Source organism: Homo sapiens, chromosome 19 (assembly GCF_000001405.40).
Source record: "Homo sapiens chromosome 19, GRCh38.p14 Primary Assembly".
Classification (NCBI taxonomy): domain Eukaryota; kingdom Metazoa; phylum Chordata; class Mammalia; order Primates; family Hominidae; genus Homo; species Homo sapiens.
Window position 1 is genome coordinate 3,350,984 of NC_000019.10, and position 26,977 is coordinate 3,377,960.

Genomic DNA, 26,977 nt, shown 5'->3' on the forward strand with positions numbered 1-26,977 from the left:
GAGGATCGTTTGAGCCCTGGAGTTCAAGACCACCTTGGGCCACAGAGCAGATACCACCTCCACAAAAAAATTTTAAAAAATTAGCCAGTTGTGGTGGTGCACTCCTGTGTAGCCCCAGCTGCTCAGGAGGCTGAGGTAGGAGATCCCTTGAGCCCAGGAGGACAAGGCTGCAGTGAACTATTATTGCACCACTGCACTCCAGCCTGGGTGACAGAGCAAGACCCTGTGTCAAAAAAGAAATGTACAAAGGTTAAAAAAATATATATGGTTGGCCGGGCGCGGTGGCTCACGCCTATAATCCCAACACTTTGGGAGGCCGAGGCAGGCGGATAATGAGATCAGGAGATCGAGACCATCCTGGCTAACACGGTGAAACCCCATTTCTACTAAAAATACAAAAACAAAATTAGCCAGGCGTGGTGGCGGGCGCCTGTAGTCTCAGCTACTTGGGAGGCTGAGTCAGGAGAATGGTGTGAACCCAGGAGGCGGAGCTTGCAGTGAGCCGAGATCGTGCCACTGCACTCCAGCCTGGGCTACAGAGCTAGACTCTGTCTCCAAAAAAAAAAAAATATATATGGTTCACACAAAAATTATATCCTATGTTGTTCTCTATAAACATCCCATCATATTATGTCTCCCAGACCACTGACAATTTTTGGAAGCCTCACTCTGCCATCTCGTGAAATGTCCTCCACAGTCCCCTACTGTTGGACACTTAAGCTGTTCCCAGTTGCTAAGACGGAGCTGCAGGGACAGCCTCGCGTTTTAAGCTAGATTTGCTTTTATGTAACAATTACTTCTACATCATTCACTATGTGTTAAGTCCTATCTCTGGGCACTTTGCAAATATCAACTTATTTCATGCTCACTCCAACTCCCATAAACTCCCCATTTTGCAGATGGGAAAACGGAGGTTCTGTAGGTTGAAGTGACTTGCCCAGGGTCACACTACCAGGATATGAACTCAGGCTGGACAGGTCCTGTCAGTGCCCTGAGACGCCCTTTTCCTTCCCTACGGTAGAGACCCAGGAGCTAAATCACTCTGTCAAAGGGGAACAAAAATTCTTGCCAGACATGGTGGCTCACACCTGTCATCCCAGCACTTTGGGAGGCCAAGACGGGTGAGTTATGTGAGCCCAGGAGTTTGAGACCAGACTGGGCAACATGGTGAAACCCCATCTCTACTAAAAATACAAATATTAGCTGGGCATGGTGGTACATGCCTGTAGTCCCAGCTGCTCAGGAGGCTGAGGTGGGAGGACTGCTTGAGCCCAGGAGTTGGAGGCTGCGGTGAGCCATGATGAGGCCACTGCACTGTGGCCTGGGCAACACAGTGAGACCCTGTAGAAAAAGGAAAGAAAGGAAAGAAAAGAAAGGGAAGGAAAAGAAAGAAAGCAAATGACCATGCAATGAATTTTACAGAAATGCACTTGGTAGGGGACCCATCCCATTCCTCAGCCTTTGACCAAGAAACATATGTTTTTATTTTATTTTAATTAATTAGTTAATTAATTTTTTGAGACAGAGTTTTGCCTCGTCGCCCAGGCTAGAGCGCAATGGCATGATCTCGGCTCACTGAAACCTCTGCCTCCCAGGTTCAAGCGATTCTCCTGTCTCAGCCCCCTGAGTAGCTGGGATTACAGGCATGTGCCACCACCCCCGGCTAATTTTTGCCTTGTTAGTAGACACAGGGTTTCATCATGTCTGCCAGGCTGGTCTCGAACTCCTGACCTCAGGTGATCTGCCTGCCTCAGCCTCCCAAAGTGCTGGGATTACAGGCGTGAGCCACCACACCCAGCCTATTTTATTTATTTTTGAGACAGGGTCTCACTCTGTTGCCCAGCCTAGAGTGCAACGGCACGATCATAGCTCGCTGCAACCTCTGCCTTCAGGGCTCAAGCCATCCTCCCACTTCAGCCTCTGGAGTAGCTGGGACCACAGGTGTGCACCACCATGCCCAGCTAAATGTTTGTATTTTGTGTATAGACGTGGTCTTGTGTCTTGTCATGTTACCCCAGCTGGTCTTGAACTCCTGGCCTCAAGCAATCCTCATGCCTTGGCCTCCCAAAGTGCTGGGATGACAGGCATGAGCTACCACGCCTAGCCAGAAGCAAATATTCATATAAAAGTTCCTCCATGAGGCCGGATGTGGTGGCTCACACCTGTGATCCCAGCACTTTGGGAGGCTGAGGCGGGCAGATCACCTGAGGTCAGGAGTTTGAAACCAGCTTGACCAACATGGCGAAATCCCATCTCGACTAAAAATACAAAAATTAGCCGGGTGTGATGGCGGGTGCCTGTAATCCCAGCTACTCAGGACGCTGAGGCAGGAGAATCGCTTGAACCTGGGAGGCAGAGGTTGCAGTGAGCCTAGATCGGGCCATTGCACTCCAGCCTGGGCGACAGAGTGAGACTCTGTCCCAAAAAAATACATAAAAGCTCCTCCAGGAAGGTTCCCAGCAACTTTGTGAGAGTCCAGGACAGCATAACACCCCCTCTGCCATATCTAATCGTAGGTCAATGGGCAAGCAAAGCATCATACATCCATACAGTTCAATCCCCATCCCCAGTAAAAGAATGCACAGTCATACACAGAATCACATGAACAAATCTCAGATAATGATGCCGAGTGAAAGACACCGGACACTAAGAATGCTGCTGGCCCCAGCTATGCTCATCTGCTTCCTTATTGCCTGTGGCTGCTTTTGAGCTGCAGTGGCAGAGTTGACGAGTGAGTTGCTTTGGATAGTTAGTAACTCTCCAGGCCTCAGTTTCTGCATCTGCAAAATGGGGGTGACTGCTGGGCATGGTAGCTCATGCCTGTGTTTCCAGTGCTTTGGGAAGCTGAGGCAGGAGGGTCGCTGGAGCCCAGGAGTTCTTTTGAGGCCATCCTGGGCAACACAGGGAGACCCTATGTCTACAATTTTTTCGAGACAGAGTCTTGCTCTGTTGCCCAGGCTGGAGTGTAGTGGGGTGATCTCAGCTCTCTGTAACCTCCGCCTCCTGGGTTCAAGCAATTCTCCTGCCTTAGCCTCCCAAGTAGCTGTGATTACAGGCGCCTGCCACCACCACCACGCCTGGCTAATTTTTGTATTTTTAGTAGAGATGGGGTTTCACCATGTTGGCCAGGCTGGTCTTGAACTCCTGACCTCAGGTGATCCACCTGCCTCAGCCTCCCAAAGTACTGAGATTACAGGTGTGAGCCACCATGCCTGGCCTACAAATCTTTTTTTTTTTTTTTTTTTTTTTTTTTTAGCCAGGAGTGGTGACACACCTGTGGTCCCAATGGCTCAGGAGTCTGAAGTGGGAGGATCACTTTAGCCTGGGAGGTCGAGGCTGCAGTGAGCCATGATCATGCCATTGCACACCAGCCTGGGAGACAGAATAAGACCCTATCTCAAAAAGTAATAATAATAATTATTATATATGTACATATAATATATAATACATATATGAGATTTTTGAAAATTATGTTGTTTTAGAGATGGAGTCTCACTGAGTTGCCTAGGCTGGAGTGCAGTAGCATTCATAGCCATGATCACAGCACACTACAGCCTGGAACTCCCGGGCTCAGGTGATCCTCCTGCCTCAGCCTCCTGAATAGCTGGGACTACAGGCCTCGCCGCTGAACTAGGTCTTTTATTTATTTATTTATTTATTTGAGACAGAGTCTCACTCTGTCGCCCAGGGCAGAGTGCAGTGGCGTGATCTCGGCTCACTGCAATCTCCGCCTCCCGGGTTTAAGAGGTTCTCCTGCCTCAGCTTTCCAAGTAGCTGGGATTACTTCGAACTCCTGACCTCAAGTGATCTGCCCGCCTCAGCCTCCCAAGGTGCTAGTATTATAGGCATGAGCCACTGTGCCCGGCCGTTTTTGCCTTTTGCATAGCACAGTCATAAATATCCTGGGTCATGTTTCCTGTGGATATTTATCTAGGAGAGCAAAGGCTATGTTACTTGGTGCATGCATGTTCAGCGTTGTGGCTGATGTCAGTCTGTCTTCCAGAGAGACTGCAGTGTGGAAGAGCTTTGTGTATCCATGGCTTCTGACACTTGCTATTATTGGACATTTTAAACTAGGGGGCAGTGAAAGGGGAGTAAAAAGGGGCCTGTGACTTTATCATACATGTCCTGGATTCCTAACAACGTTGGACATCTCTTCATCTATTTGTCGGATGCTCGTGTTTCCTGTTTTGTAATATGCCTTCTCAGGCTTTGCACTTATTATTATTTTTTTTTGAGATGGAGTCTCGCTCTGTCACCCAGGCTAGAGTGCAGTGGCGCGATCTCAGCTCACTGCAAGCTCCACCTCCTGGGTTCATGCCATTTTCCTGCCTCAGCCTCCCGAGTAGCTGGGACTACAGGCTCCTGCCACCACGCCTGGCTAATTTTTTGTATTTTTTAGTAGAGATGGGGTTTCACCACGTTAGCCAGGATGGTCTTGACCTTCTGACCTCATGATCCGCCTGCCTCGGCCTCCCAAAGTGCTGGGATTACAGGCCTGAGCCACTGCACCTGGCCTGCACATTTTTCTTTTGAGTGGTTGTCATTTTCTTATTGGAACTTCATTCTATTTTTTTTTTAAGAAATGGGGGGGCGGTCTCACTATATTGCCCAGGCTGGTTTCGAACTGCTGGCCTCAAATGATCCTCTTGCCTCACCCTTCTGAGTAAGGAACTTGATTCTTCTTAAAAGACTGTATGAGATTCCATTGGAAGGTTTTCCTATTCTTTACGGCATGCATTCTCAACAAGGACAAAAATTGGTTTGTGGCAGGGGGAGGGGTGAAAAAAATCTTACTCTTTTAATGTAAAAAACACAGCAGAACACTGATATACATATAGTATATAAGCAAATATACAGGACATCTATGTTACTAAATTTTCATGTGGGGTGATTAGGAAAAAAATGTCTAAAAAGATCTGTGGGGTGATAATGACAAACAAGGTTTTTTTGTTGTTTGTTTTTTGTTTTTTGTTTTTTTCTGAGACAGAGTCTCGCTCTGTCGCCCAGGCTGGAGTGCAGTGGCGCGATCTTGGCTCACTGCAAGCTCCGCCTCCCGGGTTCACGCCATTCTCCTGCCTCAGCCTCCCAAGCAGCTGGGACTACAGGCACCCACCACCACGCCTGGCTAAATTTTTTGTATTTTTAGTAGAGACGGGGTTTCACCGTGTTAGCCGGGATGGTCTCAATCTCCTGGCCTCATGATCTGCCTGCCTCGGCCTCCCAAAGTGCTGGGATTACAGGCATGAGCCACTGCTCCTGGCCCCTTATTTCTTCATTTTGAGACACAGTCTCACTCTGTTGCCCAGGCTAGAGTGCAGTGGTGTGATCTCAGCTCACTGCAACCTCTGCCTCCTGGATTCAAGCGATTCTCCTGCCTCAGCCTCCCGAGTAGCTGGGACTGCAGGCACCCACCACTACGCCCGTCTAATTTTTGCATTTTTTGTAGCGATGGGGTTTAGCCATGTTGGCCAGCCTGGTCTTGAACTCCTGACCTCAAGTGATCCACCAGCCTCGGCCTCCCAAAGTGCTGGGATTACAGGCGTGAGCCACCACACCGGGCCTCTGTTGGTTTTTTGAGACAGGATCTCACTCTGGAGTGATCTGCCCAGGCTGGAGTACAGTGTCGTGATCACAGCTCACTGCAGCTTCAATCTCAAGGCTCAAGCAATCCACCCACCTCAGTCTCCCACCTAACTGGGACTACAGGTGTGTGCCACCATGCCCAGCTAATTTAAAAAATTTTTTTGTAGAGGTGAGTTCTCACTCTGTTGCCCAGGCTGGTCTCAAACTCCTGGCCTCAAGCAACCCTCCCACCTCTGCCTTCCAAAGCACTGGGATTACAGGTGAGCCACTGAGCCTGGCCCCATATATATATGTTTTCTCAAGTTTAGAATAAGCTCCCAAAATTTAGACCATAAAATCTGAGCCTGTCTTAGGCCTGTGCCACACAAGCCAAACTGCTTTTACAATTCATACACCCATTCAAGCAATGATGAAAATGCCTGTTTCACTACATCCTCACCAGTACCGGGTTTTATCCATTTACAAATCTGCAGTGACTTCGAGGAGTGCCAAACCATGGCAGATTCTTATTGTTTTTCCACCTTTCTTTGGTCTCTGTAAGGCTGAACCTTTTAAATATGTTTGCTCATCAGGCTGTCCCTGGGGAATGTTCTAGAGCAGAACATCAAGTTGACCCCTATGGAAAAAGGGGTCCCTTCATGTAGAGGGGCAGAAATTTAGTTGTGTTGTAGCCTACAGTTATGCAGAAAGCAGAATTTGCAAGCAGTGCACTTGGATATGTAGCCTAGGGGAATTTCCAGCAAAGTGTTGAAAGCGCAGCCTGGTTTCTTCTCTCTGCTTGTTATAAAATGTGAGAGGAAATAGACAGATTGAGGGAAGAAGTGTGAAGTAAAAAGGAACCAGGACTTGATGATCTGGGAAATTCTAAGCCCATTCAGATCACAAAAGATGCTAAAATTAGATGCTCCCGACCATCACCACTTCTCAGCTCCGTGACCTCAGGCAAGTGTCTAAACCTCTCTGAGATTCAGTTTCCTCATCTGTGAAATGGGCTCGATGGTAATAGCAGCCACTTCAGAGGGCTGCGGTGAGGGGTGAGTAGCTTCATGTCAAGCACTTCACGCAATGCCAGGCAGTTGCAGGGTTCGTAGGGAAAGTAATGGGTGAGAGGCGCTACACCAGTGCTCCACTGTCTCTACGCCCCTCATTACTTCCTGGCTGCTATCAACCCATCCCTCCCCTCCCCTCCTCACCCCCAGGTACCTAATTCCCAGAGGCAGGGGAGCGGGTGAGGATTCAAGCTGCGGATTAGCAGAGGCCGATTAGAGACGGGTGGGAGGGGGGAGGGAGGGGGGGGGTCTCTAACCCACTAACCCTTCCCTTGCCGGTCCTGCCTCAGGTTTGCGGGAGGGGTGGGGGCCTGCAAAACCTCGGTGCCTGCCACACCCTTGGAGAAAGCATTAGTGTCCCTGCTGGTTGACCCCAGGTTGACCCCTCTCTGGGCCTCATTGGTTCCTTCTGAACTATGGGGCGAAGACTGCAGAAATGAAATGGGAAAGCCTCAGCGTCTGAAGATGAGGGCACAGGGTAAATGCCTCAGGGCTGGCTGAGACATCCTTCGCGTAGACAACACTTACTGAGCACCTACCATGTGGGCAGAGCTGCTGGCATCAACGTCGCCTAGAACTGCTCAGCTCCCAGAGTGCCAGACTCAACTTCCAGAACCCCCAGACTCAGCCATCGCTCCGAAGGGGCGCTCCGGGAACTGATTCTCCTCCCGGGGTGCCACCTGCTCTCACCCTCACCCTGGCGTCCTCCCTGGGGGAGCAGGGAACCACTCCTCCAAAGGGGTCCCTGAAATCCTGGATCCTCAGTGTGTGTGGAGGGGGGTGGAACTGGGGAAAGACAGAAGGACCATAGCAGAACCCCTTTCACCCGTCAGGTCGGAGCAACACTCCCCCCACACCCCCTGCAACCTCCCCCAGCTGCGCCAGACGCAGAGCCGGTGGGGGCGAGGGGGCGGCGCCTACTCTGCGGCTGTCAGAGGAGGGGGACTGCGGGAGAGCGCTTGGGGGGGCGCTGCGGCAGCCGGTCCCAACCCGCAGCGGCTCGCGCGGCAGGGGCGGGGGCGCTGACCCACCTCGGCCCGGCCCCTCCTCCGCTGCGGAGGCCTCGCCATTAATCCTGACCGGGGGAGGGGGCGCCCGCTGCCCCCCACTTCCTACGGGGGCCGCTGCGAGCGCTCCCCTGCCGCCCCCTGCCTGGAGCCCCTGCGGGACCCCCAGGGGACCCCCGCCCCAGGTCTGTCGCCCTCGGTGTCGGAGTCTCTGTCTGTGTCCCCGTCTGTCCCGTCTCCCTGCTGTGCGTGTGTGTAGCCGCGTGTCCCCCGGACACCTGCAGTCACCGGCCAGGGCTGCTCGGGGAGGGGTCCCGGGGGTCGGCGCGTGAGTCCCTCTGAGGTCTGGGTGTCTTTCTGGGACTGTGCGTCTGTGAGATCTCGGGGTGCCAGCCCCACAGGCTGCGAGTGTGCGTCTGTGTTGACCTCCTGCAGAAGGTGTGTGTCCCAGATGCCCCACCGGCTTCGAGCATGGGTCCCCGTGTGCCCGGCGGACACCCACGGGCCGTGTGTCCGTCACACGCTGTAGGCGCCGCGCGTGGGGATCTCTGCGCGTGTCCGTGTGCGGTGTGTGTGTGTCCGTGGCTGAGTCGAGGAGGCCCGGCCCGCCGGTGTCCCCGAGTCGCCTGCGCGTGAGTGTGTGTGTGCGCGTGTGTGTGCGCGCGCGCCGCGGCGAAGGTGGATCCGCTCGCTCCGCAGCGAGCCCAGCCGGGGCCCCGCGACCTGCAGCCGCCGCCGCCACCGCCTCCGCCGCTCCCCGGGCCTCCCCTTGCGCGGGCCGGGCCGGGGATGGAGCCGCAGCCGGAGCCGCCGCAGCCGGGGCCGCGGCGCGGAGCAGCCTGAGGCGCGGGCGGTGCGCGGGACCGGGGGGAGGGCGGGCCGAGGGGAGGGTCCTGCGGGCCGGGGGGGCGGGCGCGGCGCGCCCCCTCCCTGGCGCGCTCGCTCCCTCCCCCGCGCGCCCTCCCTCGCCGCCTCCTCCCGCCGCCTGCGGCCCCCCCCTCGCCGGGGACCGAGCGCGCTCGCTCCGGCGCCGGCCTCGCCTCCTCGCAGCAGCGCCATGGTACGTCGCCGCACCCACTTTCGTTTTCGCCCGGGGACTTTTTGGGGTGGTGCGTGGGCTCCGGGCGAAAGTTGCAAGATCTGGGGGGACAGGGGGCGGGGGCCGCCCGGAGGAGGGGCTCGAGGCGGGGACCCCCACTCGCCAGTCGCCACGGGACCCCTACCCACGATCCCCCCCCGCACCCCGGCTGGGGGCGGAGCTGGCGCGCGGGGCGCCGCGGGAGACCCCAAGTGGGGGGCCCCTCGCGGGCGCCGCGAGTTGGCGAGGAGGGCGGGGCTCCCCGGAGAAGGCCCCCGCAACCCCAGGCCGGGCCCCCGCCCCCTCCCCGGGCCAGACCCCAGGCGGGAGGGCGCGGCCCTGGGCGCACGACCCCCGAGCGCGCAGTCCGTGGGGGAGCCCGGGCCAGGGAGGGGGCGCACGGCGGGACGGCGCGTGGGGCGGGGGTCGCGGCGGCCCCCGCGGGGTGCCCCGGCCCGGGCGAGCGCGGCGCGCCAGCTAGCGGAAAATGGCCGCTGCGGAGAGGGGCGGAGAGCGCGCCGCGGCCGCCGCCGGGCGCCTTGAACTTGGAGCCGGGCGGGCGGCCGCGCTCGGCGCCGCGCAGGAGCAGCCGCCCCGCCTGCCCTCGCACCGCCCCCGCCCCGCCCCTCGGCAGACCCCCGGCCCCGCTGCCGCGCGCGCGGGGTCCCCAGCTGGGAGGGACCCCCGGGTCTCGGCCCGGCGCGCCCCAGGCCCTGGAGCGGCGGTGGCTGCACTTGGGGTTCCGGTGTCCGGTCGACTGGCGTCGGTGTCGTGCGCACCTCGAGGGGTGCGTGGGAGCCCCTGCGCTCCGTAACGGGCCGGCATTGGCATCTGGGGGAGCGTCTGGGGTGTGCGCGGCGGGGTGGTAGTGTACCTGCCTTGGGGCCGCGGGTCCCGGCGCGTCGGCTCCGCCGCTTTCTGTGTCCGCGTGTGTCTGCACATCCACGTGCTGGCGCGTGTTGTGTTGTGAGCGCCGCCCGCATTGTGCGGCTGCGGGACACTTGTGTCTTTGGATAACTGGGCGACTGTGCGCGCGTCCCTGCGGGACGGTGTTGTGAAACTATGGCTGGGCTGCGTGTCCGCGGAGCCGCGTGTCCCTGGGTGACCGTGGGGTGTCCCCGTGTGGGTGTGTGGCGGTTGGGGGGGGTCGCCAGGGAGTGGAGAACTGTCGAGTGGCCGCGTTCCAGGGGACAGTTGGGTGCCGCTTGCTGTGTGCGAGTGACTGGCGCTGAGCCTCCCCCTAGGGAAGGGTCTGCCTTCCACTCCCGGCCTCGCCTCCCCCAGTTCCTTTTTTCCTGTAACTGGGGACTGCCTGGGCGGCGGAGGAAGAGCGCTCCCTCCACCTTTTCAAAACTCTGTCCCTTTATCTTTCCCCTACGTCCCCTCCACTTCCCCCAGCCTTCGGGGTCCCCCATCCGCTTGGCCCGAGGGGGTCCTGGCTGGAGGTTCGGGCGCGAGGTGGCGCCGGGACGCGATCACTCGGCACGCAGACGTCGCTCGCCAGGGGTTGCGCTTGCGCGGGGACCTGCCCCGAGAGGGGCGGGGCGGCAGGGGTTCCCCCTCCCTGAGAGGCCGTGGAAGTCCCGAGGGGTGGGTGGTTACAGCAGCACAGGGGTTAGGACGGGCCCGGGAGGTGGCTAAGGAGACCCCTATTATCCTATGCTGGGGAGAGCGTAGGGGCACCGGGACTGGTCCCGCAGTCCCGCCTCCAGCACTTGCCCCCAATGGACCAGAGGCCGTGGGCACAGAGAGCTGTTTTGTCACCTCCAGGGAAATCCCCGCCGCTCTCCACCCCCACCCCACCCCCAGTGCGTTTGATATAATTTTCTAAATATAAAAAGCCCAAGGCCAGGCTGGTCTCTCTCGCTTTCTTCTTGACATCCCATCATGGGGGGCTGTTTGGGATGTCAAGAAGGAGAGAAAACCCTCCCACAATGACACAGAGGCCTCCCCCAACAACACTCAAGGTCATTCTCGGGTTGTCACCATCCCTCACACCCACTCCCAGCCTCAGACTCACAGCTATCTCCCTCCGCACTCCCGGAGGGACGGTTGGATGCCCTGGCCTTCAGCACACGGCATGGCCCTCTGTCCCCATTTTGGGTTCTGTGCACAGTGGGACACACGTGCATGCAGTCATAGTTACACACACACACACACGACACTCCCTCACGGTGCCTGTGTCTGCATGACTCTGCACACACAACCACACAGAGACTCACATAGACACACACAGGCCTGTCTAGAGACAGACGTCACACACACAGGCGTGCACAGACACACATGGGCAGACACACTCACGGACACAAACACCGCACTTGCGGGGGGATAGACAACCACATCTCACCCTCCTGCCCTTCCCTGTCCCCACCGCGTTTCTGCAGGGCCGAGAGCCCAGCTCCAGGCAGAGCTGGTGCAGGAGGAGCAGGGAGGTGGCGTGCTGTGTGTCATTGTGATGGTGCGTATGTGACTCTGTGTGTGCCTGTATGGGAATACCGGGGGGTTCCACTTGTGGGTGTGTGTGTGCTTGTAAGAGTGTGTGCTTTTGTGTGGAGTGTGTCTGTGATTGTGGACAAGTGCCCATGTGTTTGTGGTTGTGTCTGCACTTGTGTGGGGGCAGCTATATCCATGCGTTGTGCTTGTCAAGAAGCGTCCTGTGGGGAGTTGGGAGGGTGTGTTTGTGGCTGTGTGTGTGCCATGTGGGTCTGTGTGTGTGTGTGTGTGTCTCTGCTCGCCCCTCTTTGAGGAGGTATCTGAGGTCAGGTGTGGGGGGAAGGCTGTGATGATATATGGGTCTGTTTTTATGTGAGTCTGTGCGTGTATTTGTGTCTTTGTGTATGTAGCTGTGTGTCGTGTGGAGTCTGTGTCTGCAGCTGCTTGAGTCTGCACGATGTGTGTCTGTGTGTCTCTGTAGGTCGTAGTGTGTGGTGTGTGTGTCTATCTGTACCAGCCTCAACGGCCTATCTGACCTTTAACTCACTTGACTTTAACATCCCTTCTTACAGCCTCAGTTTCTCATCTGTAAAATGGGACCACATGGGACCCTTGCAAGGTTCCTGGGGAGCTGACATTGTGAGCCCCTTGCTGAGCAGGTGCGGGGCTAGGGGAGGCTGACTGCACACTGCACTGCTGTGTAATCATTTGCCTGCAAGATTATGTCCTTTATTCTCTGGGTGTGGTGGCTGTGGGGTTACCATGGGGGGCTGGGGGTTCCTGTCTACCCTGCCTGAGCTGCTCTGTGAATTGCATTCAACTTTTTAAGTTTTCCTTTAATTACTGAAGCCATTAGTGATCATATGAAGAGGATACAACTGTATCCAGAGGAAAAAAAATCCAATCTTTCTGATCACCCCCATTCCTGGGTGGAACCCCGCTCCAGAATGTTACCATCTATAGTTGGAGCATTTGCAGGACTGAGAAATACACACTTATAGAGGATACATGTGCATATGTGTATATTTCCATAAAGGATGTACTTGTGGAAATACTCGTGTATTTCCATAAAGGAGACATATGTATATGTATGTGTATGTGTGTGTATATATATATATATATATATATATATATTTTTTTTTTTTTTTTTTTTGAGATGGAGTTTCGCTCTGTTGCCCAGGCTGGAGTGCAATGGCATGATCCTGGCTCACTGCAACCTCCACCTCCCGAGTTCAAGCGAACCTCCAGCCTCAGCCTCCCGAGTAGCTGACATTACAGGCACCCTCGCCCATGCCCGGCTAATTTTTGTAATTTTAGTAGAGACGGGGTTTCGCCATGTTGGCCAGGCTGATTTTAAACTCCTGACCTCAAGTGATCTGCCTGCCTCGGCCTCCCAAAGTGTTGGGATTACAGGCGTGAGCCACTACAACCGGCCAAAGGAGATATGTGTGTGTGTGGGTGTGTGTGCATGTGTGTGTATGTAAAGGATACTATGTATATTTGTATAAATACATGTGTACTCTTTAAAACCCTAAATGAGATCTTGAATTTCCTTGCTGGGTCTACAGCAGTGGGGTCTCAGCCAGGGTTGATTCTGTTCCCATGGGACACTTAGCCATGTCTAAGGACATTTGTGGTTGTCACGACTGGGGGGTGCCCCTGGCATGGAGTGGGTGGAGGCCATGGACTCTGCTCAGCACCCTGCAGGGCCCAGGACGGCCCCAACCCAGAGAGCGATCCAGCCCCAGTGTCCACAGTGCCAAGGGGGAGAGCTCTCCAGCTTTCTGTCCCCCCACTTGTCTCTTGGGGACATAACCAGTTGGGAGCCACTGGTTTTACTCAGCTGCATAGTGTCCCAGCCTGTGTTGGGATTACTAAACCGGTCCCCCACAGATGGACAGCATGGCTGCCTCCAAATTGTGGGCATTAGTTTTATAGGTGGCAGTCAACTCTTTTGTGCTCCTGTATCTGGGACAGTTACAGAGATGCCGAAGAGTGAAATAACTGTAGAGAGAGTGCTTTGAAAAAAAAAAAAAATGAGCCAGATTGTGCTCGAAAGTGCCAGGAGCTAAATCATGCACCCATCTTCCGGGCCCTCCACATGCAGGTCCCAATCTACCAATTGCCTTTTTAAAGAAACTATGACGTACAGTTCCCTGTTGTAACCACGGGCAGGTATTTGCTGACTTGCCTACAACCTGGAGGGTTATGAGCTGGCGTCGCCCCATTTCACAGAGGGAGAGCCGAGGTGCAGAGAGACGAAGCTGCTGACTGGAGGAGACATAGACCCAAGCAGCGAGCCCACGCGGCAATTTAGGGAACCAACTGTGTGTGCTGCGGGGGTCCCTTGCCACCCAAACTGGGATATAGGCTGCTGTTCGTACACTTGCAGAAGTTTCTCCCTGCAGCTACCGCCACCAATAATATTCACACAGCCTTCCCACATGCTATGTAAAGACTCCAACCTTCCCCACCTCCCAAGATGCATCCTGTTACTATAGCCATTTTACAGATGAGGAAACCGAGGTTCCAAGAGGGGCAGTCTCTGCTCTCTAAACTTCACCTTCCAAAGGATTCTAAGCTGCTGAATGAAGGCTGCAGGCAGGGTGGTCTGTACAGGGGAGGGAGGGTGGAAGGCACGGGGTCTGGAAGTCTAGGAGGAGTGTCTGAAGTCAACTGCAACTTTTAAATATCTGTGAATTTTAGATTTCACCCTGTATGTGTCCCTAGCGTGTTTTAATAAAATAAATTGCTTCACGTTATATTGGTATGTGGATTTCCAGATACACTTCTCACCATTTAATTCAAATGCTCCCCACAGCTGCACAGTGGGTTTAAAATACACAGACACACACATTTATGGACCGTTCGTGATGTACTAAGCACTGTTTGAATAATGTCACCGTCATGCAGAGGGGAGCCTGTGGGGGGCCTAGGGAACCTACGCTGCAGGAATTCTGCTCCCTCCTAGTTTACCTGTCAGACCCTGGGCAAGTGGCTTCCGTTCTCTGGGCCTCAGTTTCCTCTCCTGTAATGCCTGAGGATAATGGGTGCTGGTATCTTCTGCGCCCCTGGGCCTGGGGCACCTGCCCCAGCTTGGTGAGAGGGTATCATTTGTCCTTGGGAAGCTCAGAGAGATGAGGTGAAATGGCCAAGCTTTCTAAGAATGTGTCTTTAGTGAACATTTGACCCAAGGTCAAGGCTCTGCTAAGGTCATTGTCCTTATCCCCAGCAATCCCACAGGATGGGCATCTTTAAGCCACTTTATAGGGGAGAACCCTTGGGATGGGAATGAGAGACACAGCAGCCTCTGAGCTAGCCTGGGAGGATCCAGGGAGTGAACCGGGGGAGGGTTGGGGCCCTGTCATCAGATGCCCTGGGGGCTCAGACGGAGGCAGGCCAGGTCTCTGCCCTGTTACGTCTAGAAGGAGAACAGAATGTGGGCTCCAGGTCCAGATGGCCTGGCTCCAAGCCACACTTGCCATACCTCAGTCTTGAGATCTGTGAAAAGGGCACACCCCTGAGGCAGGTGGAAATTATTGGATACCCAGGGGGAGGCTGCAAGGGTTTATCTGGCCAGCTGGAGATCCCGCCTGGACACCGTCCTCCTGGGGTGCTGGAGAGACACACAGGCGAGGCCACCCCTCCCCTGCCCCTTGGGTGCTGGGTGAAGAGAGCAAATTCTGGAGCCTCCCGTGTTAGCCTGGGCCCTTCTGGCCAAGGAAGGGACAGCTGCACACAAGCCCCTCTAGCTGGGGACCCGCAGCCCCTGCCTGGCTCTGGGGGGAGAAGGGAGCCAGGGTGCTGTGGGACCAGCTCACCGTGCACCCAGGGTCGTACATCTTTAAGGGGAAAGAGGCGCGCTGGCCGGCCTCTGCGCACGTCACTTCTTCATTCCTTCCCTCCCCCCTGGCTCTTTCCTCCAACTTCCCGGCCAGCTCGGGGGTGATGGGGGGGTGGGGAGGGGGGGCCTTAAAAATCCACCCCTGGCCCCTCAATGTCCAGAAACAACCCTGTCCCCCCTCTCCGCTTGATCCGAATTGGGGTCGCCCTGCAGTCCTGGGGTCCTGGTCTAGTGCCCTGGGGCATTGCGTAAATACGGGAGGAGCGGGGGGGTCCTGAGACGTCGGGGGAGGCTCTCCTTTCTCGCTCGCGCCCTTTTTTCCCTCGTTTCTTTGAAAGTTGGGTGTTGAGAAGTGGGAGGTTCGGGGTGGGAGGGGGAGGGTGTCAGAGGGTAGAGAGAGAGACAGAGAGACAGAGACGGGGGAGAGAGGAAGAGAGAGACGGAGGGAGAGAGGGACAGAGAGCGAGGCGGGCGGCGCGAGAGAGGGAGAGCAGGAGGGAGGAGGAGGGAGACCGAGGGAGGAGGCGGCGAGGAGAGCGCGCCGGCCGCGGGGCGGGGGGGGGGGTTGGGGGGGGCGGGGGGGTGGTTTGGAAAAATGACTCAGTAAGTTCAGCGCGCCCGCTCCGGCCGGCCCTGCGCCTCCCGCCGCGCCCGGGATGTATTCGTCCCCGCTCTGCCTCACCCAGGTACGGTCCTCGCCCGGCCCCCCGCCGGCGCCCCCGCGCCCCCCGCATCCCAGCCCCGGAGTTTTGAAGCAGGAGGAGGCGGGACGAAAAAGGCGCGCGTCCCTCCCGCCATCCCTGCCCGGGATGCCCCCCGCGCCGAGGGCTGGGGTCCGGTGGGGGGATGGGTCAGGCTGGGGTACCCCCCCCACACCCTTACCTACCGCGGACCCCCTACGCGGGACTCCCGCCCAGCACCCCCAACCCCGACTCTCGGGACCTCTCCCGGATGTGGGGCTTGGTCTGCAGATTTGCGTCCCCCCCCCACACACCGACGCACTCCGCACCCCCGCCCCGACACTCGGAAAGGTCGGGGTGGGGGCTGGCCCCCCTCCAGCAAGGGCTCTGCGGGAAGCCCCCCGCCTGCCTCTGAGAGGAATCTAGGGGGTCGTGATTGGACCCTGGGTCTCCCCAGCTGGAGAGAAAGGGACCTCTCATGTGTTTTCCCCGTGTCCCCCCACCAAGGTTGTGCGGGCCGCCCTGGCCCTCGGTCGCCTTTCCCTCGTTATTGGCCCACGTGTGCATGGAGGGGGAGGGGGCAGGAGAAGTTGGAGGCCCAGGAGGGGGAAGGGTGCTCCGGCGGCCCGGCTGGGTCCCCCCTCCTTTGCAAGCCCCCCAGCACCGTCCCGGTATTTTCGCTGCATCGATTCTGGATTCTGGATTCTGGATTCTGGAGCCGCCGCCGGGAGGAGCGGGAGGCCCGGCGCTCCGGGTCTGGCCCGGGCACTGCGGCGCTGCGGACGCCCTCGCCAGCCCGGCACCTGCCCCGTCCCCTCCCCCTCCCCCTCCCCCTCCCGTAGCCTCTCACCCCTGGCCGCACTCCCAGACTGCCCCGGGGCCGAGCCTTGTGCAATGGCCGAGGGGGTGTGTGGGGAGGGGGCGGCTCCCCCCGGGGACTCCTTCCAGCCCAGGCTCCCGGGGACCCCGAGGTCTGCAAGTTCCGTTTTCTAGACCGCTGCTTTCCTCCTTACGCAGTGTGTCTTTAGGCTGGAGAGGTTCTGGCCTCAGTTTCCCCTGAAGTGAGGTGCGGCTAAGGCCGGTTCTGGAGAGGGGACAGTATGGCGGGCAAACTGTAAAGTCCCGGCACGTGGGGGGTGCGATTCCAGCGAGGGCCAGGCCCGTCTTAAGAAGCACTGTGTGGGGAGTATATGAGTCCCCGGCTTCCGCTCCAGGGCATGGTGCAGTGAGGGACCCCCCACGCCAGGCATGCTCCTTGGTAGGGTCTTTCTCACCGGCCCCCTGCAGCCGACAGGGAATGTGGGAGCTGGTGCTGAGGGGGTCTGAGGTCTGTCCTACCTGTGATCCCCTGAGTGACCTTGGGTAAGTCCCTGTCCCAGCCTCAGTTTCCCTTTCTGAGCAGCTTTGGGGGGGGGGTTCCCGAAGAAGGCATCTCTTTGAAGTTCTCCAAGAACAACTAGGGTTCGAGTGGGCACGCTGTGTGACCTCGGGCAGCCTTTGAAGTCTCTGGGCTTGTGGGGTGACTGAGGTGTCCCCGCTCTGTCCTCACCAGCTGGAAGGAGCCATTTGGGAGGGCTGAGCGGAGGGGAGGCTGTTCCAGGCTGGGGAGGTTGGAAGGCTGCCTGTGCACCCTGGAATTCCCCCATCAGGGCTGGTTGGGAGACATCCTGGTTGCTGGGGTGGGTTGGGGGTTAGTAAGAACCCCAGTCCAGGCTTTGCCTCAGAGAATTGCTAACTCGGCCTCAGTTTCTCCAGGAACAGGGCAAGGACCAGCCAGGAGGGCTGTCTGTGGAAACCAAAAAACGGAGAGGCTAAAAACTAAAAACTATCCAGGGGTGCTGCGTGCAAGAGACAGAGATGAGAAGACAGAGACAGGCAGAGAGACAGAGGCAGAGAGCTCCCAGGCCAGAGTGGGGACAGCGAGTCCCAAGTGCAGGGGGCTCCCTCCTCCCCTGCGATTCTCCTCTCTGCCCCGCCCTCCACCCCAGCCCTGTAGTGGAGCTGGGGACCCCCTTTCCAGTTTGTCTTCAGCCTGAATGTAATCCCCACTGTTCCCCCAAGGCCCAGCCTGGTCTGGGGTAGCCAGTGGGGTGGGCTGGGGGACTCAGAAGGACCCTGAGTGCCCCATGCAGGAGCCTCCCACCCAAGTCCTGGCTGCCTGACTCAGTTTCCCGAATCACGTCCCCTCCGTTTCTCTCATCTTGGTCTCTTTTTGTCTGTCTTTCTCTCTTTCTCTCTGTCTTGCTCTGACTCTGTGTGTGTGTGTGTGTGTGTGTGTGTGTGTGTGTCTGTTTCTCCCTGTCTCTCCATCTCTGTCTCTCCCCGCCTCTGTTTCACTCCCAGTCACTGTTGGTCTCTTTGTGTCTCTCTTTCTCATCCTCTGTCTCTCTGATGTCTCAGTCTCTCCCACTGTCTCTGTCTCTTCATGTCTATCTCACCATCCCTTTCTCCTCTTTGTCTCTGCATGTCTCTTTGATGTGTCTCTGTCTCTCTGTCTCTCCCTCCCTTTGCCTTCTTTGTGTGTCTGTCCGATGTGTCTCTGTCTGTTTCTCTGTCTCTGTCTCTCTGCCCCCTTCCTCTCTGTCTCTGTTTCTCTCCAATATGTCTGTCTGTCTCTTCATCTCTGTCTCACCTTCCCTTTCTCCTCTGTCTCTGCGTGTCTCCCCTTGCCCCCTCTCTCCCTGTCTCTCTCTATCTCTGCATGTGTCTCCTTACTCCTCTCTCTCTGTCTCTCTCTGTCTCTGGGCCTCCCTCTCCCCCTTTTCCCAGCTAATTTTACAACCTGAGCCCAACCGAAAATAGCTCCCTTTTAGCTGATCCGACCCGGATCCTTCTCGGGAGCCGAGGCTGGCGGGGGGTGGGGGGCATCTCGGTGCCAGCCCGCTCTGTGCCACCCGGGCCCGGCCCGCCGAGTGGGGAGTGGGTGCTGGCGGCCCTGGGGCATTCTGGGAGCCCCGGGCCGGGCTCAGCGGTGACTCAAGCGCTTTTTCACTTTTACTCTTAAGAGGAACTGTGTGGAGCCCATGGCTCCCATAAATCCTGCCGGCGGGAAGGCCGGCCTCCCCGCGCCTGCTCTGGGCCTCCCTCCCTGCCTCCCTCCCGCTGGCGCCACCGCCACGTTAGTTATTCCGGGTTTGGGGCCAAGTCCCTCTTGGCCGCAGCGTGGCGGATTCCCCGAGCCACCTCCATCCCGCCACCGGGTCCCTGTCTCATTCGTTCGTTGTTTCCTTCATTCGTTCGTCCCATGCCCTCTCGGAGCACAATGTGCTTTGCTGCCATTTCTCCAGCAGGGTAACCGAGGCTGGGAGAGGCTGTCCTCCCACCCCAGACCCCCGACCTTTGTTGGATTTTCTAGATCTTCCTTAAGCATCTCCTGGGCCCTGGGGATAGGTGGGGGTGGGGGAGGCAGCAGGGCCCAGGCCCAGTGTAGGTTCTTAGAGGGAGCTTGGGGGGTGCCTACCAGGAGCAGGGGGCCTGCAGCCCCTCAGTGCCGGGAGAGGGGCTAAGAGTCAGAGAGGGCCAGGGCCTGCCCGAGGTGGCACAGTGGGGCTGGCAGAGCTGGGGTTCAGGCCATTTTCCATCTGGCGGCTTGGGCAGGTGGGCGCTCTCTCCCCGTGTGCCCCCCACCCGGGGCCTGGTGGCCTCTGATTCACTCTCTACAAGGCTCCACCACTCTCCCGCTGTATCTCCCTCTGGGTCTCTCTGTGCATCTCTCTCTGTTTCTCCCCCTCCCCTCTCTGCGGCGGAGGTGCCTCTGCGCGCCAGGGCCAAGCGCCCTGTAAATCACCAAAGCTGGGATTCTGGCAGAGTCAGCGTTCTCCTCTCTCTCTCTCTCTCTCTCTGTCTCCCTCCCTTTCTCCCCCCATCTCGCTCTCTCCTCCTCTCTCCCTCTCTCCTTCTCTGTCTCCCTTTCCGTCTTTCCCTCTTCCTTTCTCTCTCTCTCCCCGTCTCCCTTCTCTCCCTCTCTCCTTCTCTCTTCTCTCTCTCTTTCTCCCTCCCTACCTCCCTCTCTGTTCCTCTTCTTTCTCTCTGTCTGTCTCTTTCTTTCTCCCTCCCTTCCTCTCTCTCTGTTCCTCCTCTTCTTTCTCTCTCTCTGTCTCTCTGAGCTGGCCTCCCTCCCTGTCTCACACCAAATGGATGGGAAATGCTGCCTGGGCCTCCTGCCCCGGACACGGCCCGCCCCCCACTCTCCTGCCTGTGTCCACGCCGACCTCACCTGGGTGCCCATCTGCCCTGAGCACACAGCGTGCGGGCACCCAAGTCCTGACCAGTTCACATCCATGAGCACACGCTGGGCGCACACGCGTGCACACTCCCTGACACCCATACGGACGAGGACACAGCTCTGCCTGCCTCGGATCTGCCTTGATGGGGGTCACCAACACACAGACCTAGAGTGCCCCTCACATCTGCCTGAAAATCTTGCTCAGGAGGTGCCAAACCCAATATAGTACCTGGTATAGAGAAGGTGCCAAATAACTGCTATAGAGTGGTGCCAAATAAGTGTTGCTGTGCTTGTGATTGTTGCTAAACTAATTCTCCTCTTTCCTGACTCTGGTGGGTGACCTGCCCCCACCCCCGGACCGTTTCTTGCCCTGAAATGAAGTCAGCAGAAACCCCCACTTCCTCAGGGCTGCTGCAGATTCAGGGAGGCAGCACAATTTTTTTTTTTTTTTTTTTTTGAGGTAGAGTCTCGCTCTGTCGCCCAGGCTGGAGTGCAGCGGTGCGATCTTGGCTCACTGCAGCCTCCGGGGAGGCAGGACATTTCTGAGGTCCACAGTGCAGGGCTTGGTACTCAGTAGGTGCCCAATAAATACCTGTTGCACGAATGAATGAATGAATGAATGAATGAATGAATGTTTTTGGTTGAGAGGCGGGACTTTGGTCTTCCCGAGCCTCCATTTCTCCGCCAACATAAAATAAAAAACATAATGGCACTTTCCTCAGAGACATCGATGTACCTTAGTCCGACACCTGGTATACAGTAGGTGCCAAATAAGTGCTGCTGTGCTTATGGTTGTTGCTAAACTAGTAATTGCATTGAACACCCCAGAGGCATTTTCCAGTTTCCCTCCCTTCCCTCTGTGTGTATTTGCGCAGCGTAAGCCCAGCTTTGGGCTGGGTGACAAGGACAGTGGTGACCTGGAAAGGCCCAGGCTCAGACCCCTCTCTACTGTGGCATTTCTGTTAGTTTTTCTTTTCTTTCTTTTTTCTTTCTCTCTCCTTCCTTCCTTCCTTCCTTCCTTCCTTCCTTCCTTCCTTCCTTCCTTCCTTCCTTCCCTCCCTCCCTCCCTCCTTCCTTCTTTCCTTCTCTTTCTCTCTCTCTCCCTCTCTCTCCCTCTCTCTCTCTCTCTCTCTCTCTCTCTCTCTCTCTCTCTCTCTCGGAGTCTTGCACTGTCGCCCAGGCTGGAGTGCAGTGGCGTGATCTCAGCTCACTGCAACCTCCGCCTCCTGGGTTCACGCGATTCTCCTACCTCAGCCTCCCAAGTAGCTGGAATTACAGGCACGTGCCACCACGCCTGGCTAACTTTTGTATTTTTAGTAGAGACGGGGTTTCACCATGTTGGCCAGGCTGGTCTCAAACTCCTGACCTCAGGTGATCCACCTGCCTCGGCCTCCCAAAGTGCTGGGATTACAGGCATGAGCCACCGTGCCCGGCCTCTGTTAGTCTTTTCTCCCTGCCCAGCCCTGTCCAGGGTCTCCCTGAGTTTGACCAGCCCTGTGTGGGTACCAGCCTTCCTTACACATGGGGGTGCATGGATAAGGGGGGTCCCAGAGGCAGAAGATGGGAGCATTGCTTCAGTGGTCTGGATGCTGGAGATGCTAACAGATCAAAGCTGTGCCCTTGTGGGACCGACAGTCTAGGCCGGGTCGGGGACGGGCAGGAAACGAGGTGACCAGGACTCCTTGAGGATGTGGTGTGCGACCGACCTCGGGGATCAAACAAGGGGAAGGGAACCACGTGGGACTCGGAGAGTGTGCACGGTGCAGACCAGGTGTCACTGGACGCTCTGGCCCGAGACTGTTTGCTCAAGGGGCCCAGGAGTGGGGTGGGGGGGTGCCAGGAGGCCCAGGGACCAGTCCCAGCTCAGTTCCTCCCTGACTGTGTGACTTTGGTGGAAGATTTCATGCCTCAGTCTCCTCCTCGAGGTAGTGGGTGCAATGATAGTCCCCACTTTCATAGTAGACTTTTTTTTTTTTTGAAACAGAGTCTCGCTCTGTCGCCCAGACTAGAGTGCAGTAGCACAATCTGGGCTCACTGCAACCTCCGCCTCCCGGGTTCAAGCGATTTTCCCGCCTCAGCTTCCCAAGTAGATGGGATTGCAGGTGTGTGTCACCGCACCTGGCTAATTTTGGTGTTTTTAGTAGAGATGGGGTTTCACCATGTTGGCCAGGCTGGTCTTGAACTCCTGACCTCAGGTGATCCGCCCGCCTCGGCCTCCCAAAGTGCTGGGATTACAGGTGTGAGCCACCGCGCCCGGCCCCTATTTCGTAGTAGACGTGATAGCTCAGCAAACGCTCAGCCTGTAAGAGGCACAGCCTCGCTCCCTGCCTCTCTCCTCCACCTCCTGGCCCCTCTGGCTCAGCCCTCATTGTCCTCCCAGAACATCAAGGCACAGAGGGAAGTAGGGGACCCAGGGTTCATTTTGCTGACTCACTGCCTTGGCAGAGAGTTTGAACCCTGTGGACTCAGTTTACCCAAATTCCTCACTGTGGCCCACAAGGCCCTGCCCAGCCTGTCCTTGTCCCCTCCTCAACCCTCCCCTCCTCTCTCTTTCCCCCTTGCTCATTCTGCTCCAGCCACATGGGCCTCCTCGCTGTTCCTCTAACACGCCAGGTGCGGTCCTGCCCCAGGGCCTTTGCATGACCCATTTCTCCATCAGAAAGCTCCTGGCCTGGAGTGCCATCTCTCAAGACTTTGTTCAGGTGTCTCCTCCTGCAAGAGACCTTCCTGGACCCCCCCCCCAAGCTAAAAAACACCCCCCACCCCAGAGATTCTCTGGTCCCTCAAACTCTTAAATTTCTTCAGAGCACTTTGCCCAACTTGACGTTTTATTACATATTTTGCTGATTTTAACCATCCGTCCCTGCCCCAGATCTGGATCCAGGTGAGGGCCGAGCCCAGGTCCCTGCCAAGTCCTCGGCACCCTACCTGGGACCGGCATGCAGCAGGCACTCACTAAATGTTTGCTGAGCAACAGAATGAATCTTCCCTCTCTGGGAGCCGTTCACATGTCCACAGGCTGTGATTTTCTGAGCCAGGGGAAGGAGCGGCCCAAGGTTAGAGCCTGACGCTGGTGCCGGATGGGCCTGGGGTTGTCCGTGGGACCATGGACAAGTCATCCGACCCGGAGAAGAAGGCATTAGAACTAAGGCTTTGAAGGATGCGTAGGAATTTGGGATAAGTGCTAAGTAGGTAATGAGCTAGATTCTCATGAAGGATTGTTGAGTCACTTTTACCTGGAAACTTTTGGTTTGGAAATTGGAGTTTCTTGTCCTGGTTTGCTGGCCTGGACTTTCAGGGTGGGAGGAGCACAGGGAGGTGAGTGAGGGCATCACCCAGTGCATGGCGTGGTCGTTCAGCAAGGTCTTGGGTCCAGATGTCTCTCCCAGCTGCTGCTGCTCTCTTTGGCCAGGAAGTCCCAGTGGGCTAAGCTGGGGTTTCCAGGAAAGACCTAGCCTTGTTCCCCTTCTCCCCATCACCTTGCAAGGAACAAGGTCACCAGGCAAGCTCCCCTGTCTCCAGCAGGCTGCAATATTCCTTTCTGCCCATTGTACAGAATGAGAGACTGAGGCTTATCTGAGGTGATCTGTTCCCCAGCCATTCAGATGGTGAAAATAGACCTTACTGTCACCCAGCCACCTTCTCCGACAGTGGGTGCCTCAACTCTGGGCCTCAGGATTGGAGAGGGAGAGGTGATAGAACTGGATGGTCCTGGCTAGATCTGGGAAACCCTGGGTTGAGGAGGAAAGGCTGCTTGAAGGAGGGGACACTAGAGATAGGGCGTTGAGGGATGTGTAGGAGTTTGGGAGGATTTTCAGCATCTAGCTTGTCTTGGTTATCTCTTTTGCCGGTTGGGCCTCTGAGGGCAGTAGGAGGTCCCTGGGGAAGAGGCCCTGGTTATTGCAGGTCATGTGGGAGAAACAGAGTGACAACCGGCCAACCAGGCCCTGCCTCTCACGTGGTCTGATCCCCTGGGGAGGACAAGGGAGGATGGGGCAGCAGGTCCATGACCCAGTTACAAGCTGTTTGTCTTCCTGCCTCTGTAACTAGCCGGGGTCACCACTGACGTGGGCCCCCACCCCTGCCCGCCTCCCTGGCACCTGTCCCCGGAAAGGGCACAGAGAAGGGGAGGAACATAGAGAAGGGAGGGACAGTTAGGGAGGAGGAAGGGAACTCAGATCTACGAGGGGCCAGATGAGAAAAGGAATTAAGAGGAGAGGGGAAGTGGGGAGGGGGAATTCAGAGAGAGAGGGGGGTTGGGGAGAGAAGGAGTTGGGGGGACAGTGATCCCTGCCCCCATCATGGATGCCTCCCCTGTCCCTTCCAGCAGCCTCTTATCACAGCCCCAGTAAGCGCCAGAGCTTGGGTGGCAGCCACGGCCCCAGCTGGACAACATTGTCCGGGCCTCCTGCCCGCCTGGCATCTCCTCCACAGGCAGGTCCTGCGCCTCTATGGGTCCTCTCTGCCGCGTCCCACTGTGCCCCCCACCACCCCCACTGCCCGGCTTCCCTGGCCAGACCATCTGGGCTCTGGTCCCAGCTCTGCTGACCGGCTGTGTGACCCTGGACAAACCACTCCCCATCTCTGGGTCTCATCCAGTCAGGGGCAGGGACGAGATTGGACAGGGCCTGGGCCGGGCCCCCTCCACCTCCCCTTTGCCTTAGCAGGTTGGCTGGGGAAGCGGGGGCAGCGGAAAAGGGCCCTGAGGTCCGGTCCCCGCCGCAGCTGTTACGGTGACTCACGCTTTGGGGGACATTGGGGTGGGGGAGCTTCGCTGGTACAAGCTGACTCTGGTCTCACTGGGTGGGGAGGCTATTTTCAGAGCCTCAGTAATAGGTGAAATCTGATGTCCTGCCCCTCCCCCCGAAGCACCCCACGGCCGGAGGTGGCCCAAGGGGACGTGGAGCACAGAGCAGGGAGGGTGATCTGGCAGCAGCTGCTCTGCCCATCCCGGCCTGGAAATGGGACCGAGTCCAGCCACATCCGCTGGCACACACAGTGGGAGTCCAGGGTCAACGTCTCCCTACCTTCCTGAGACCCCAATCTTACAGAGAACAGGCTGTTCTGAGAAAGGGACCCGTGGCCTTCCAGGGGGTCAGGGCCCTGATTCTTATCCTCACACCGGCCCTGAGACCCTGTGGGACCTCAGCCAGGTCTCCGCCCCTCTCTGAGCCTTAGTTTCCATGCCACAGAACACGGAGCGGGGCCTCAGGCTGTTCCCTGCTTCCTGGAAGATTGTCTGCAATCAAAATGATCATCGCAGCAATCGCGTCCATAGTAATGAAAATACCCCAGCATCTTAGAGGGGCCGAGGCGGGAGGATCGCTTGAGCCCAGGAATTCGAGACCAGCCTGGGCAACATAGCAAGACCCCCATCTCTACTAAAAGTACAAAAATTAGCTGGGCATGGTGGCGCACCTGGAATCCCAGCTACTCGGGAGGCTGAGACATGAGAATCGCCTGAACCCAGGAGGCGGAGGTTGCAGTGAGCTGAGATCATGCCACCGCCCTCCAGCCTGGGCAACAGTGTGAGACACTGTCTCAAAAAAAAAAAAAAAAAAAAAAAAAAAAAAAGGAAAGAAAATAGAAAATATCCCAGTGCCTTAGGAGGCCGAGGTGGGAGGATCACTTGAGCCCAGGAGTTTGAGACCGGCCAAGGCAACACAGTGAGTGAGACTCCATCTCTGCAAAAATAAAAATTAGCCAGACATGGTGGTTTGCACCTGTAGTCCCAGCTACTCAGGAAGCTGACGTGGGAGAATCGCTTGAGTCTGGGAGTTCAGGGCCCAAGTGACCTAAGATCGTGCCACTGCACTCCAGTGAGACGCCTGTCTTTTTTATTTATTTATTTATTTATTTTGAGACGGAGTCTCGCTCTTGTTGCCCAGGCTGGAGTGCAATGGCGCGACCTTGGCTCACTGCAACCTCTGCCTCCCGGGTTCAAGTGATTCTCCTGCCTTAGCCTCCCGAGTAGCTGGGATTACAGGCGCCTGTCACCATACCTGGCTAATTTTTTGTGTTTTTAGTAGAGATGGGGTTTCGCCATGTTGGCCAGGCTGATCTCAAACTCCTGACCTCAGATGATCCACCCACCTCGGCCTCCCAAAGTGCTGGGATTACAGGCGTGAGCCACCACACCAGGCTGAGACCCCCATCTCTTAAAAAAAAAAGTAATAAAAATCACAGTAGCCCCAGCACTTTGGGAGGCCGAGGCAGGCGGATCACGAGGTCAGGACATTGAGACCATCCTGGCTAACACAGTGAACCCCCGTCTCTACTAAAAAAAAAAATACAAAAAATTAGTTGGGCATGGTGGCGGGTGCCTGTAGTCCCAGCTATTCAGGAGGCTGAGGCAGGAGAATGGCGTGAACCCGGGAGGTAGAGTTTGCAGTGAGCTGAGATCGCATCACTGCACTCTAGCCTGGGTGACAGAGCGAGACTCTGTCTCAAAAAAAAAAAAAAAAAAAAAAAATCCAATAGCAATATAAGTTGTAATGATAACAATCATCGCATCATTAATAACAATGTAGTCCTTTGAGAGCTGGGGGGAGGAAAACAGCTTTCTGTGCTAGGAAGGGATCACCCCTGTCCGAAATGCCCAGCCCAGCCTGGTCAAGGCAGGGAGATGGAAAGGCAGTTTTGCTTCTCTTTCTCTTCTTGTTCCTTGTATTTATTCCACCTTGAGGCTGAGAAACTAGGTCCCAGATGTTTTTAATTTGTTTTATTTTATTTTTTATTTTTTTAGAGACAGGGTCTTACTCTATCCCCCAGGCTGGAGTGCAGTGGCACAATCACAGCTCACTGCAGCCTCGACCTCTGAGGCTCAAGTGATCCTCCCACCTCAGCCTCCTAAGTAGCTAGGACTACAGGTGTGCGCCACAGCAACTATGCCCAACTAATTATTTTTGTAATTTTTAGTAGAGACGGGGTTTCGACATGTTGGTCAGGCTGCTCTCAAACACTTGGGCTCAAGTGATCTCTCCACCTCGGCCTCCCAAGTAGCTGGGACTACAGACGCGCACCACAAAAATTATGCCCAGCTAATTTTTGTAATTTTCGTAAAGATAGGGTTTTG

At 56.6% G+C, this 26,977-nt stretch overlaps 1 protein-coding gene across 5 annotated transcripts in view, besides 11 other annotated features; it reads left to right on the forward strand.

Moving 5' to 3' along the window:
* Positions 8,270–8,399: a silencer, noted in NCBI's record as "silent region_9836". NCBI's record gives its function as "represses an Ori minimal core promoter by ATAC-STARR-seq in GM12878 lymphoblastoid cells {active_cell/tissue: GM12878}" and the evidence as "EXISTENCE:reporter gene assay evidence [ECO:0000049][PMID:35858748]".
* Positions 8,560–8,649: a silencer, noted in NCBI's record as "silent region_9837". NCBI's record gives its function as "represses an Ori minimal core promoter by ATAC-STARR-seq in GM12878 lymphoblastoid cells {active_cell/tissue: GM12878}" and the evidence as "EXISTENCE:reporter gene assay evidence [ECO:0000049][PMID:35858748]".
* The window catches only part of NFIC (nuclear factor I C), a 109,588-nt gene continuing 91,257 nt past the window's right edge, over positions 8,647–26,977 (forward strand). For 3 of the 5 annotated variants that reach the window (NM_001245002.2, NM_001245004.2, NM_005597.4), the window contains exon 1: positions 15,600–15,683. In NM_001245002.2, coding sequence (NP_001231931.1) covers positions 15,654–15,683 — 30 coding nt within the window. In that variant the 5' untranslated portion in view covers positions 15,600–15,653. Of the gene's footprint in view, positions 8,703–15,599; positions 15,684–26,977 lie in introns of those variants that run through there. The other 2 variants (NM_205843.3, NM_001245005.2) reach the window with 1 other exon arrangement.
* Positions 9,360–9,409: a silencer, noted in NCBI's record as "silent region_9838". NCBI's record gives its function as "represses an Ori minimal core promoter by ATAC-STARR-seq in GM12878 lymphoblastoid cells {active_cell/tissue: GM12878}" and the evidence as "EXISTENCE:reporter gene assay evidence [ECO:0000049][PMID:35858748]".
* Positions 9,600–9,709: an enhancer, noted in NCBI's record as "active region_13732". NCBI's record gives its function as "activates an Ori minimal core promoter by ATAC-STARR-seq in GM12878 lymphoblastoid cells {active_cell/tissue: GM12878}" and the evidence as "EXISTENCE:reporter gene assay evidence [ECO:0000049][PMID:35858748]".
* Positions 10,160–10,289: a silencer, noted in NCBI's record as "silent region_9839". NCBI's record gives its function as "represses an Ori minimal core promoter by ATAC-STARR-seq in GM12878 lymphoblastoid cells {active_cell/tissue: GM12878}" and the evidence as "EXISTENCE:reporter gene assay evidence [ECO:0000049][PMID:35858748]".
* Positions 15,229–15,318: a silencer, noted in NCBI's record as "silent region_9840". NCBI's record gives its function as "represses an Ori minimal core promoter by ATAC-STARR-seq in GM12878 lymphoblastoid cells {active_cell/tissue: GM12878}" and the evidence as "EXISTENCE:reporter gene assay evidence [ECO:0000049][PMID:35858748]".
* Positions 15,769–15,918: a silencer, noted in NCBI's record as "silent region_9841". NCBI's record gives its function as "represses an Ori minimal core promoter by ATAC-STARR-seq in GM12878 lymphoblastoid cells {active_cell/tissue: GM12878}" and the evidence as "EXISTENCE:reporter gene assay evidence [ECO:0000049][PMID:35858748]".
* Positions 16,209–16,608: a silencer, noted in NCBI's record as "silent region_9842". NCBI's record gives its function as "represses an Ori minimal core promoter by ATAC-STARR-seq in GM12878 lymphoblastoid cells {active_cell/tissue: GM12878}" and the evidence as "EXISTENCE:reporter gene assay evidence [ECO:0000049][PMID:35858748]".
* Positions 18,380–18,659: a silencer, noted in NCBI's record as "silent region_9843". NCBI's record gives its function as "represses an Ori minimal core promoter by ATAC-STARR-seq in GM12878 lymphoblastoid cells {active_cell/tissue: GM12878}" and the evidence as "EXISTENCE:reporter gene assay evidence [ECO:0000049][PMID:35858748]".
* Positions 19,928–19,977: an enhancer, noted in NCBI's record as "active region_13733". NCBI's record gives its function as "activates an Ori minimal core promoter by ATAC-STARR-seq in GM12878 lymphoblastoid cells {active_cell/tissue: GM12878}" and the evidence as "EXISTENCE:reporter gene assay evidence [ECO:0000049][PMID:35858748]".
* Positions 24,509–24,924: an enhancer, noted in NCBI's record as "ENSG00000141905_19:3326490-3326905 (NCBI36/hg18 genome assembly) insert fragment". NCBI's record gives its function as "drives selective reporter gene expression in differentiated C2C12 myotubes {active_cell/tissue: C2C12}" and the evidence as "EXISTENCE:reporter gene assay evidence [ECO:0000049][PMID:22144875]".